This window comes from Homo sapiens, chromosome 2, assembly GCF_000001405.40.
Source record: "Homo sapiens chromosome 2, GRCh38.p14 Primary Assembly".
NCBI classification, from domain to species: domain Eukaryota; kingdom Metazoa; phylum Chordata; class Mammalia; order Primates; family Hominidae; genus Homo; species Homo sapiens.
The window spans coordinates 38,012,581-38,026,030 of NC_000002.12; the positions used below are offsets into that span (position 1 = coordinate 38,012,581).

Sequence of the window (13,450 nt, forward strand, 5' to 3'; positions counted from 1 at the left end):
CACATTGCATTTTTTTCCTCAGTGATGTCTCCATTTGTATTCTTAGCAATTTTTTTCCAAGTAGTAAAGGTATGTAAGGTATATTTCCATTTCTTTTTCCATGAGAAAATAGGATGAAGTGAGTTATATGTAATACCCCTCCATCTCTATAAAGTTTTTTCAGATTGAAATATACCCCATTAGTGATTTTGCTAACCAAGTTTATTCATTTCCAAAATGTCTAGCAATGCCACTAGTTACAAGAGGACAACCTAGCCATCAGTTTACTCTCTCGTGTGACATTTCATAAGATGTTTGTTTCTTTCTTGTGGCATTTATAGCTTCTTCCTTGCATTATAGGCATTTGTGGACATGTCTTCTGTCCCCTATTAGGGAACTCTCAGCTCATCACACTGCTAGTTGATATTGGGAGTGTCAGTCGTTTGGTCTCTAGAGCCCAGATTCAAAGGTGTAAGCAGCTTTACATTCCCAGAATTTGAAACTACAGTATTTTTATTATTCATGTGGACTTTTCTTGACCCTAGGAAAGTAATCTCAGATCCTGAGAAACATTTCTTTTTTAAAAAAGGGATTTCTGTGTCTAAGACAGTGTGAGAACGATTGCTGAATGAAATAATGACTTCACTGGCAACCTGAAAGTTGTTTGCCTGGAGGCAGTATTAAAGTTCATCAACGTGGAGCCTACTGAGAAAGCTCAAATATAAAAAGCATTATGTAATGTTGTATGATAAGAGGTGCTAAACTGGTAAAGAAAAACCCATATTTTAAAATTGCTGAAACATTTTGAAATGGCATTAGTCACCTTTCTAAGACAAACAGACTCATAGACTAGTAAATCCAATGTTACCAGAAACAAACCACAAAAAGAAGTGTACTCTGGGAGTGCTAAAAGTTAAGAGCACGTTATATTTAGCAAGTGGTATAGTTGTCTTTGAAATGGCCTGTTGATTAAAGTTTTGAGCTGTATTTCCAACCTGTTTTATGAGTTGAGAAGCATAACTCTCATTGGTAACTGCTCTTAGTAACAAAATCCTAATTCTGCTTTAAATGCTCTTTCTTAATTAAGATATCATATTTGATTATGATATCTTGAAAACATTGGTTTTCTGGATAAGTTATAAAACAGAATTTGTATCCATTCACTCTGCCTTCCTGTTATAGAAATGCTACAGCTCAGGGTAATAAATGGGTCTCTTGTCAAAATCCTGTAATGTTGTCTCATTTGCTAGAAATTCTTGTTTGCCCATTTCTTTCTGGTTGAAACTTATTTCTTGTAAATTAACTCATCTGTGCTATCCGTGCCTGGAGAATTATTCCTAGTACTTTTTAGAAAATTAATAAGGCAGCCGGGCGTCGTGGCTCACGCCTGTAATCCCAGCACTTTGGGCGGCCGAGGCGGGCGGATCACCTGAGGTCGGGAGTTCGAGACCAGCCTGAGCAACATGGAGAAACCCCATCTTTACTAAAAAAAAAAACACAAAATTAGTCGGGCGTGGTGGCACATGCCTATAATCCCAGCTACTAGGGAGGCCGAGGCAGGAGAATCTCTTGAACCTGGGAGGCAGAGGTTGTGGTGAGCTGAGATCGTGCCATTGCACTCCAGCCAGGGCAACAAGAGTGAAACTCCGTCGCAAAAAAAAAATTAATAAGGCTATTACAGTATAGATAGTATAGACAGACTTTTCCCGCTGTCTAAACAGTCATTTTCATGATTTGTAGAAAGTCTGTTTACAACCCGCTATTTCTACTCTTTTGACTCTTACCTTCTTGTCATTTGCATTTAAAATGTATTATTTCTTAAGATTTTGCAATATATGTAATGGTCTTGGTTGTATTGTTTAAATTGATCTTAAAAACACTCTAAAGAAGTTTCTTAGAACCCTTTTATTTATTTATTTTCTTAAAATAATTGATGATACAGCATCAGTTTGGGACTAGCTGTTCTTAACCAGTACCCAGTCTCATGAAGTTGGTGTGTGATAGTCACTACCCAAATGCTAGGAGAATAATGACAGTTTAATGTAAATAAGTCTCTCTCTTATTTATCCAGTCTTTAGCAGAGAGCATTGATGTAGTTTTCTAAACCATATTTTTCCAACACTATCAGATGAAATAAATCTATATTTTTGAATATGTGTGTTTGGGTGAAAGAGAGAGATTATCTTTATTCAGTTATTTTACAATTATAGAGGTGTACTCTGCTAGAGGCTTGTGATACAAAGAGAAAAAAACAGATACCTCTGCCATCATGAATTCTGTGGTCTAGTGGGAAAGGCAGGCACTGAAAAAGTCATAGCAATAAAATTTGATGAGTGTTTTGGAAATAAAAGCACAGAGATTTATGAGAAAATAAAACTGGTACTGCAACTTGGGCCATGGGCCAGGAAAGGTCATCCTGAGGTTTTGCTATATAATCTAAGGAAATTAGAATTTAAACCCAGTTGTTTAAATATTTAAGACTTGCTTGGACAGTAGAGGGCTCATTAAAAATACAGGTTCCTGGCTTTTTCTAGAAAGTTAGAAGGAAGCTCTGAGCTCCCGAATGTGGTAACCCCAACCCCAGTATCATCGTGGTCTCAAGTTTCTATCTGTCTGGGTTCTGCCCTTCTGGCTTAGTGCTCAGATGGCCCCTGAATGAGATTACAGAGAAAGACAGGTGGTGACTGAGTTCTTGACAGTACAACGATAGGAATTGTTGACCCTCGACTGGGCGTGGTGGCTCACAGCTATAATCCCAGCACTTTGGGAGGCAGAGGCGTGCAGATCATTAGGTCAAGAGATCGAGACCATCCTGGCCAACATGGTGAAACCCTGTCTCTACTAAAAATACAAAAATTAGCTGGGCATGGTAGCACGTGCCTGTAGCCCCAGCTACTCGGGAGGCTGAGGCAGGGTAATCACTTGAACCCGGAAGGCGGAGGTTGCAGTAGGCGGAGATTGCGCCACTGCACTCCAGCCTGGCAACAGAGCGAGACTCCGTCTCAAAAAAAAAAAAAAAGAAAAAAAAGGAAATGTTGACCTTTAAGGATAATGCTTTGGATTTTACTCAGAAAGAGTAGACTCTGCTAGACCCATCTCAGAGGAAGCTGCACAGAGATGTGATTCTGGAGAAAATCCTCAAAACCAGCATCCGGGCAAGAAAGTCTTAAAAACAAAGACAGAACTTCCGTGTAGAATATCTACAGGAAGGAGCGATCTAACAACATGTCAATACTGAGATTCGTAAGGGTGAACTCTGTTCCTCCACAGCAGAATTGGCCTGGGGAGGGCCAAATTAGGAATGCAGCACAATCATATGACTTTAATTTGAGGCTAGAGAAAGTGTGCTATCTCAGCTCAAAGGTGTGGATAGTTCAGATTTGGGAGAAAAGGAATAACCTGAGCTCCAAACCATAACCTGAGTTCTTATAAGAGGGCAATTGCATAAATATAGCCAATATATTAAGTGCTTGAAACATAATGAAAACCATAAAATTAATCATATAGCTATGCAGCTGACCTGCTACAAAGGAGAACACTTCTGTACGCAAAGGAGAGTAACACACTGTATCAGTGTAACCAACGTGGAAGACGTTAACTAGAGACTATACTGAATGCTCGGCATCAGATTCATATGTGGGAAAATAAATGAATAAATGAAGGTATTTGAGCAAGGCTCTAACAGCCTGTTATGTCCTCAGTAGCAGAGATGTCACAGTGGAGAGGAGCCCTTGGAATATAATGAGTATGAGGAAGTTGTCACAGCTCAACATTGACTCAGCATGTGTTAGCTCCCACTGGAGGGAAACTCCATAAATGTAATGAATGTAGGAAACACCTCATCCAGAGAGTTAACTTTTATTCATACCAAAGAACTCTTTGTCTGTAGTCAGTGTGGAAATGCCTTCAGTGACCATTTATCCTTTAAACAACACCGTGAATTAACACTGGAGAGAAGCCATATGAATATGATCTGTGTGGGAAAGCCTTCATTTAATGATCTCACCTTAGTCATAATGAGACAATGCACATGGAGAGAAACCCTATAAATGTACAGCATTTGGAACAGCCTTCAACCTCAGCCCTAACCTTTATAGGTGGTCTCACTCAAGTTTCCATCTATCTGAAAGATGCCATCTTTTAGATACCAGAGAGCTCCCACAGGGCTAAACCCTACACCCTTCAGGCAAAGCTCAAGCCTTGATATGGAAAAAAAACTTAGAGTAAAACAGGAAAGAAAGTGGCGAGCTTTTTCCAGGAGGAAGAAACCTGTTGGGAAAATACTAGATACTTCATGCTGGAGAAGGAATTCAATGAAATAAACATGATAAACCCTTTACTCATAGAGCGACACTCCAGGACATGTGAGGATTAATGCTGTATAAAACACTCACTAAGAGAAAAGCAACTTGTTACAATGAAAAAAAAGAAAATTATTAAAAAAAATAATAAAACACTGTCAATGTCCTGAATTAGGGAAAGTATTTGGTGATTGCACGTACCCTCATGAACCTTAAAGTTCTCATGTTGGGGAATCTCCTCAAGTCAGTGTAAGTCTGTTTCAGCATGCTAGAGTATCAAGATGAATGCATGAAATTTCATTATGTATTTGTATTTTCTTTATAGGATAAAGAGGCACAGAAAGAGATGCAAAAAATAATGACTTCCTTGAAGAGGTAAATAAACGAATTTACTCTTCAACAAATCAGATGTGGTCTACCAAAATTTAAATGAATCAAAGTTGTGCTTTTATTATCCTTCATTTTTGATGTAAGGGTATTGTGCTTAGATTTGAAGGTAAAGCCATGTTTCTGCAGAATGCATTCCACTAGTAGCACTACAAAATTAATTATGTTATTTGGAGAATCTATATACTATAATGTCAATACATAATCTATAAACATGTATGCTTTATATTTTTCTTATCAATAAACTGCAGCCTTAAGAATATTTCTTTAAATAAAATATTTAAATCCAATAAAATGAATTCTCATGAATATTTTATTGTTTCAATGGAGACTTCGTAAGACAAAATAATTTCATTAATGTGGATGAAAAATGGAAAACTCAGCAAAGGACATGAACAAGTTGTTGGCAGAAGAGGAAAAACAAACAAATGTAGTATTGTAACTGGTAATCAAAAGATGTGAATAAAATTACAATAAAATACTGTTTTACCATCAAACTAGCTTTCACTCGTGTCCATGTGAAGAGACCACCAAACAGGCTTTGTGTGAGCAACAAGGCTATTTCATCTGGGTGCAGGCAGACTGAGTCCGAAAAGAGAGTCAGCAAAGGAAGGTAAGGGTGGGGCCATTTTATAAAATTTGGGTAGGTAGTGGAAGATTACAGTCAAAGGGCCTTGTTCTCTGCCTGGCAAGGGTGGGGGTAACAAGGTGCTCATTGCAGGAGCTTTTGAGCCAGGATGAGCCCGGAGAAGGAATTTCACGAGATAATGTCATCAGTTAAGGCAGGGACCGGCTATTTTCACTTCTTTTGTGGTGGAATGTCATCAGTTAAGGCAGGGACCAGCCATTTTCACTTCTTTTGTGATTCTTCACTTGCTTGGGGCCACCTGGACGTATAATGCAGGTCACAGGGAATACGATGGCTTAGCTTGGGCTGAGAGGCCTGACACTAGCAAGGATTTTTTTTCTTCATTCGGAAAGCATTCAATGCTAGCAATATTGTCATGAGATGGAGCATTCTCATACACGGTTAGTGAGAGAATATTTTGTCACTTGGGTACATTAAATATGAAAATATAAAAGAAAAAATTTAAAAAGTATTTTGGCACAAACCTTTGGTAAAATTTATCGAGAGCCTTTGAAAAGTATTAAATCTTTAGTCATGGAAATAATCATAAAGAGTAAAGTGCAGTGACTGATTCACAGATGTTCATAACAGCATAGCATTATGTCCAACAGTAAGAAAGCAGCTAGCCACACTGAAATATAACTACAATCGAATAACATTTTGACATTAAAAATAATTACAAAAATGTTATAGGCAACGGCACAGAACATCTTAAGTGCAAGTACAAGTCAAAAATAGTACATACATAGGATCTCAACAGTATAAAAATAAGCACAGAAGAGCATCTGGTGGGGAATACACTAAAATAGTAGTAGTTTATATTTCTGTGGAGCTGTATTTTTCCTATATTTCCCAGTTTTTAATAATAAATAAAGTGATTTTTTTAGGTTGAACTTAGCAGTGAGCTATAAAGATTCCCTGCTACCTCTTAATCAGCCTCATCTTGGAAGTCAGAGTAAAAATTTGGATTTTCTGTTTACTGTCCCAAATACATGGGTGCACATGCACGCACACGCACACACGCACACACACATTTATACACTTAAAATTTCAAGCCGTGATAGACATTCTGGTTAGGTAAATTAAGCAACCCCCTAGCCCCATCTTCTATAATGATCAGTCAAGATACTGAATCAGTCCAGCTGGTTCTCACTTTGCTCTGACAACTGGTCTAATGTTGAAACTCTTGGCTAGATGGGGCAAGAGTCTTGCAGGTTCTCTCGTGGATATGCTGAGAGGCTATGGATACCTCTGGCTATCTCTAAACAGCTAAAGGAATGTGAAAGTATAGAAAGGTGAATCCAGCTAGCACCAAATGACATAGAATCAAGTATGTTGTAGGTTTTGTGGGAGCAACTCATTCCGGCAGAGTGGTACAAACACTTCCTTTACGAATTATGAGGACTACCAAGAAACACTCCTGGTGGGTAGCAGTGGGATTTGGGACTCATAATTGGAACCTGACATAAGATCTAATCAGTGTTCATGTATTATATTTTAACAAAATTATTGTTTCTCATAATATGTCTTCAATGGACAAGTTGATATCCGTTGACTGGGTAATCAGTGTAGTTGTTTCTGGATATGAGCTTGACCCAATAGAAATGTAGTACTCTTAATTCAGTCTTTAGAGAATTAGGAGTTTCTGACACATTTGGCCTTTTCTCCAAATGGGTATTAACAAAGGGAATTCCCCTCCTCATCCTGGTAATAACCTTTCAAAGGAGCATTAACTCCCTGCTGTATGCCCCCTTCCAGAGTCATACTGTCATATCTGTATTCCTCATAAAGCCATTTAATCAGAGAAATTATGTTCGGGAGGCTGAGGCGGGAGGATTCATTGAGCTCAGGAGTTCAAGACAAGCCTGGGCAACATGGTGAAATCCCATCTCTACAAAAATTAGCTGAGCGTGGTGGTGCATGCCTGTAGTTACAGCTACTTGGGAGGCTGAGGTGGGAGGATTACTTCAACCCAGGAGGTCAAGGCTGTGATGAGCTGTAATTGCGCCACTACACTCCACTCTCCACAGCACTCTGGGTGACAGAGTGAAACTGTTTCAAAAAAATTTTTTTTAATTTAAAAATAATTTTTTAAAACTAAAACCATTGCAAATAATTGCTAAATAGCTAAAAAACCGTGAACAGGACTAGAATCTGATAACCTAGAAGGGTGTGCTATACAGCAGTGGTCCCCAACCTTTTTTGGCACCAGGGGCCAGTTTCATGGAAGACAATTTTTCCCTGGATCCGCGGGTGAGGGGATGGTTTCAGGATGATTCAAGTGCATTACATTTAGTGTGCACTTTATTTCTATTATTATTACAGTGTAATATATAATGAAATAATTATACAACCCACCATAATGTAGAACCAGTGGGAGCCCTGAACTTGTTTTCCTGCAACTAGATGGTCCCATCTAGGGGTGACGGGAGACCGTGACAGACCTATCAGGCATTGATTCTCATGAGAGGTGACAGCATGCTGGCAGCCCTCGCTCGCTCTCTGCGCCTCCTCTGCCTGGGCTCCCACTTTGGCGGCACTTGAGGAGCCCTTCAGCCCACCGCTGCACTGTGGGAGCCCCTTCCTGAGCTGGCCAAGGCCGGAGCCGGCTCCCTCAGCCTGCGGGGAGGTGTGCAGGGAGAGGGTGAGAGGGAACTGGGGCTGTGCCCGGCGCTTGCGGGCCAGCTGGAGTTCCGGGTGGGCGTGGGCTTGGCGGGCCCCACACTGGGAGCGGCCAGCCGGCCCTGCCGGCCCAGGCAATGAGGGGCTTAGCACCCAGGCCAGCGGCTGCAGAGGGTGTGCTGGGTCCCCCAGCAGTGCTGGCTCACTGGCGGTGTGCTGGATTTCTCACCAGGCCTTAGCTGCCTCCCGGCAGGGCAGGGCTCGGGACCTGCAGCCCCCCATGCCTGAACCTCCCCCGCCTCCTTGGGCTCCTGTGCAAACGGAGCCTCCCCCACGAGCGCCACCCCCTGCTCCACGGTGCGCAATTCCATCGACCACCCAAGGGCTGAGGAGTGCGGCGCACGGTACGGGATTGGCAGGCAGCTCCACCTGTGGCCGGGTCTGGGATCCACTGGGTGAAGCCATCTGGGCTCCTGAGTCTGGTGGGGACTTGGGGAACCTTTATGTCTAGCTAAGGGATTGTAAATACACCAATCAGCACTCTGTATCTAGCTCAAGGTTTGTAAACACACCAATCAGCACCCTGTGTCTAGCTCAGGGTTTGTGAATGCACCAATCAACACTCTGTAGCTACTCTGGTGGCAACTTGGAGAACCTTCATGTCCACACTCTGTATCTAGCTAATCTAGTGGGGATGTGGAGAACTTTTGTGTCTAGCTCAGGGATTGTAAACACGCCAATCAGCACCCTGTCAAAACGGACCAATCAGCTCTCTGTAAAACAGACCAATTGGCTCTCTGTAAAATGGAGCAATCAGCAGGATGTGGGTGGGGCCAGAGAAGAGAATAAAAGGCTGCCGGAACCAGCAGTGGTAACCTGCTGGGGTCCCCCTCTGCACTGTGGAAGCTTTGTTTTTTTGCTCTTTGCAATAAATCTTGCTGCTGCTCACTCGGTCCACACTGCCTTTATGAGCTGTAACACTCACCGCGAAGGTCTGCAGCTTCACTCCTGAGCCAGCGAGACCACAAACCCACCAGAAGGAAGAAACTCCGAACACATCCGAACATCAGAAGGAACAAACTCCAGACACGCCGCCTTTGAGAACTGTACCACTCACCGCGAGGGTCCACGGCTTCATTCTTGAAGTCAGTGAGACCAAGAACCCACCAATTCTGGACACATAAGGAGTGTGCAACGTACATCCCTCACATGCACAGTTCACTGTAGGGTTGGCCGTACAAATCCCACCACTGATCCAACAGGAGGAGGCGCTCAGGTGGTAATATGAGCAGTGGGGAGCAGCTGTAAATACAGATGAAGCTTTGCTCACTTGCCCACAGTTCATGTCATGCTGTGAGGCCCAGTTCTTAACAGGCCACAAGCCAGTTACCAGTACGAGTACCAGCCTGTGGTCCGGGGTTTAGGGACCCCTGCTATAGAGGATACATAGGATATTTTGTCAATTTAATCCTCTGTCCAATCCAGTGAGGGAGGTGTTCTTCTTTCCATGTAGGTAATGACATAACTGAGGCTTGGAATAAATAACTTGTCACAGACCTTTCTTAACAAGTGGAAAGAGTTGGTACTTAAACACGGCTTATTTCGACTCCTTAATCTAGTCTTAGTTACTCACAACGGATATATAAAAGGTACTGTGTAGATAAAGATGAGGAAACAAACCAAAATAAAGAAGTTATCTGTAATGAGGCCACGTAAAAATGGTTTCTATATTAAATACACCTATTTTCTAAAAACTGAGTGATTTTCTTGAATGACAGGATTATATGTAGAACATTATGCCTACTCCAGGGAATTTCACACAAAGTGAGCCATGGGGAATCTCGTTTTCTATGGTTACTTCACTCACCACTCATGGTGCTTGACCTCAGAGAAGACAGAATAGCTGCAGAGTGTTCCTGAAATGAGGATTGTTCCTGCTAGATCACGAAGTCCAAGCTGATGGTACACCTGCCACTCACAGACGAAGTACCCAAACTGCTAACTTCTCAAGAGACTTCGTGTACAACTTTGGAAAGCGGGAGTTCTGACCCAAACTTTGAATATGCTTGATTTCAGAAGATAAGAATCAAACTGTATGTTGCAATTTCTCATAAAACATTAAAGAAGTAACTTAGTGGTCCACGGAAATTTTAGTGATGTCCATGTAATTGCGATGTTATCTTTCTTACTAAATAACAAATGGCCTTCATTGTAACATGAAAATCCATGCCACTTCTCATTTGTGCCTAAAAGTTATCAAAAGGCTTTTCATTTGATAATATTTTTATACTTTTCGATTTCAAAAAGCAGTGGTACAAGCTGAATGGGGTTAGCTTTTACACTAAACTTCTCATTTTTACCAATAAACAGTTTAAGCGTTGATGTGTAAGTGACAGGGTCGGGGTCAGACAACTGTAGTGACCAAGCCAGGATTGCGTTCCAGCCCTTGGAATCTCACTTGTGCTTTCTTTGAGCCCGGGGCTGTTTATGTTTAATTGATTGGAGTCCAGTGTGTCTGATGTAGAATGGGGGCTCTAAGAATGGTAACACTTACCTGGTAATTACCTATTCCAAGTGTTTTTCCTATATTAACAATTTTAAACCTCACAGCAACCTATGAGGAAGAAACATTTGATATTACCCCATTTAAGATAGGGGAGCTAAAGCACAGGATATTTCCATGCCTAACACCATGAGCAAAAGATTTGGAGTTGGGCAGACTGCTCCAGAGTCCATGCTGTGGTCAGCCACTGTACAATCCTGCCAGCAAATGGGAGAATTGAGATGTGGGAAGTGAAAGACAGTGGAAAGACAGAAGGTAAAAAAGGAAACAAGGGAAAGGAAAAAAGAATTTTAAAAGGTAGAGAGCAGTAAAGAAAGAAGGAAAACAAAGCTAGAAAATGTAAAGAAAAATCTTATATTTGTATTTTGAATATTGATAGACATTTTCTAGTTTTGCATCATAAATTCCCAACAATGTATTTTGTATCTTTTATTTTTTTCATATGCCCGCCTTTTCCTTCCCCTCCTCCACAAGATAAGGTAGTGAAGCCTGTTTTTAATGACTTGATCTACTTGAACTGAGTGTGTTGAGAAAGGTTTGGTTATGGACTTTGTGGCCTGTTGATTGGGAAATTAACAAGAATAGTTGATTTCACAAAGACAAGATACATTTTAGAACCAAGTAAAGTTCATACTTGAAGTACTGTGATTTTGAAGCCCCTCAACCTATGTTTTGCTTTAGATACTTGAAGCCAAATCATAAGGTTGGGTTTTAAAAAATATTGAGATACAATTGACATACAAAAAAACTGCATGTATTTAAAGTGTATAATTTTATAAATTTTGACGTGTACACCCACGAAACCATCACCACAGTTAAGGTAACAAACATTTTCATCACTTCAAATGTTTCTTCATGCCCCTTGGTAATCTCTCCCTCTTGCATCTCTCTCTGCAACCCCATTCCAAATAACAACTGATCTGCTTTCTGTCATTATACATTACATTTTCTAGTATTTTATATAAGTAGAATTATGTGTTATACACCCCTTTGTCTGACTTCTTTCCCTCAGCATAATTATTTTGGGACTCATCCATGTGGTAACATGAACTAATAGTTCATTTCTTTTCATTTCTGAGTAGTATTTTATAACAGAAATATACCATAGTTTGCTTCTCCACTCATCTATTGATAGACATTTGGCCTGTTTCCAGTATTTGATTATAACAAACAAATCATCTATGAAAATTCATATAAATGTCTTCGAATGTACATATACTTTCATTTCTCTTGGATAAATACACAGGAGTAGGAAGTATGGTAGATGTATTTCTACCATTATAAAAAACGGTCAAACTGTTTTCCAAAGTGGTTTTACCATTTCACATTCTCACCAACAGCGTCTGAGAGTTCCGCTTGCTTTACTTTCTTGACAACACTTGGTAGGGTCAGTCTTTTTCATTTTAGCTACTGCACTAGGCATGTAGTATATCTGATAGGGGGTTTAATTTGTATTTTTCTAATGACAAATGATGTTGAGCATTTTTTGGTGCATTTATTTGTCATCTGTATATCTTTTATGGTGAAGTATCTATTCAAATATTTTGCCCATTATTTAAATTGAGACGTTTTGGTTTTTGTATATAGTTTGGAGTATGGCTTGAACTTTATTTGTTATAAGTTATTTGGATATCTAATTATTTCAGCATTTACATTTACAAACTTGCAATCTATCTAATACTCTATAACATATCTAATGAAGTTTTGCCTCCAAATCTGCTGAAAAGACTGTTGTTTCTCCATAGACTTGCCTTTGTACCTTTCTCAAAATCAGCTTTCCATATATGCATGGGTCTGTTTCTGGACTTTCTATTTTGTTCCATTGATCTATTTATTGATCTCAACACCAATACCACATCATGTTGATTAATGTAGTTTTCTAGATTTGAAACCAGGTAGTGTTACTCCTCCAACTTTGTTTTTGTTCTGTTTGGACTGCTCTAGGTTATTTGCATTTCCATGTGAATTTTAGAATTAGTTTTTAAAATTTCCATCAAGAAAAAAGTGGTTGTGATTTTTGATTGTGATTACATTGATCAATTTCAATTGACATCAGTTTTAAGTCTTGCAACCCATGAATATAGTATACCTCTTAATTTATTTAGGTCTTTAGTTCCTTTCAGCAATATTTTGCAGTTTTCAATGTACAGGTCTTTCACATTTTTGTCAAACTTATTCCTAAGTATTTCATATTTTGATGCTCTTATATATTATATTTTCAATTTCTGATTTTTTATTGTATATAGAAATGCAGTTGTGTACACTGATCTTGCATCCTGCAGCCTCTTTAAACTCACTTATTTCTGGTAGCGTTTTTGTAGATTCCATTAGATTTTCTACTACTGTGATTATATCAGTTGTGTATAAAGACAGTTTTACTTCTTTCTTTCTAATCTGAAGGTTTTGTTTTGTTTTTGCCTTATTGTACAGGCTAGAACTTTCAATACACCATGGAATAGAAGAGGGCAAGCGTTCTTATTTTAATTTCTGATCTGAGGGGAAAGCATGCCATTTTTTGCCATTGATCACAATGTTACCTGTAGGTTTTTTTGGAGATACGCTTTTTCTAGTTGAGAAGCTCTCTTTTGTTCTTATTTTGCTGAGTTTTTTTTATGGAATTAATACTGAATTTTGTCACACTTGTGTTCATTGAGATGATCATATGGTTTTACTGTTTTAGTTTATATGATGAATTATATTTGAATTTTAAAATATTAAGACAGCCTTGCATTCCTGGGATAAAATTGACTTAGTCCTAATGTGTTATTCTTTTTATTGTATCAGTGGGTTTACTAAAATTTTATTTTAAGTTTTTGCATAAATATTTACAACGGATATTGGTTTGTAGTTTTCTTGTAAAGTCTTTTTCTGGTTTTGGTATCAGAGTAATTCTGGCTTCAGAGAATGAGTTGAAAAGTACCCTGCCTTCTTCATTTTCCTTAAAAACTATGTAGAATTGATATCGTTTCT

General features: G+C 39.5%; 1 protein-coding gene, 1 long non-coding RNA gene and 1 pseudogene across 18 annotated transcripts in view, besides 1 other annotated feature; 2 read left to right on the top strand and 1 right to left on the bottom strand.

The window, feature by feature from the left end:
- The window catches only part of RMDN2 (regulator of microtubule dynamics 2), a 146,238-nt gene that overhangs the window by 91,680 nt on the left and 41,108 nt on the right, over positions 1–13,450 (top strand). For 6 of the 17 annotated variants that reach the window (XM_047443518.1, NM_001170791.3, NM_001322211.2 and 3 more), the window contains one exon: positions 4,606–5,164. The exons of 6 other annotated variants lie outside the window; for them this stretch is intronic. In XM_047443518.1, coding sequence (XP_047299474.1) covers positions 4,606–4,659 — 54 coding nt within the window. In that variant the 3' untranslated portion in view covers positions 4,660–5,164. 5 more of the 17 variants (XM_017003476.3, XM_017003478.2, XM_017003477.3 and 2 more) reach the window with 5 other exon arrangements.
- The window catches only part of RMDN2-AS1 (RMDN2 antisense RNA 1), an 86,008-nt gene that overhangs the window by 62,247 nt on the left and 10,311 nt on the right, over positions 1–13,450 (bottom strand). The window lies entirely within an intron of this gene.
- On the top strand, positions 3,003–4,056 carry LOC100419680 (zinc finger protein 430 pseudogene; annotated as a pseudogene).
- Positions 5,206–5,738: an enhancer, noted in NCBI's record as "NANOG hESC enhancer chr2:38244929-38245461 (GRCh37/hg19 assembly coordinates)". NCBI's record gives its function as "activates a minimal SCP1, AML or CMV promoter by ChIP-STARR-seq in naive H9 embryonic stem cells {active_cell/tissue: H9 hESC(naive)}" and the evidence as "EXISTENCE:reporter gene assay evidence [ECO:0000049][PMID:30033119]".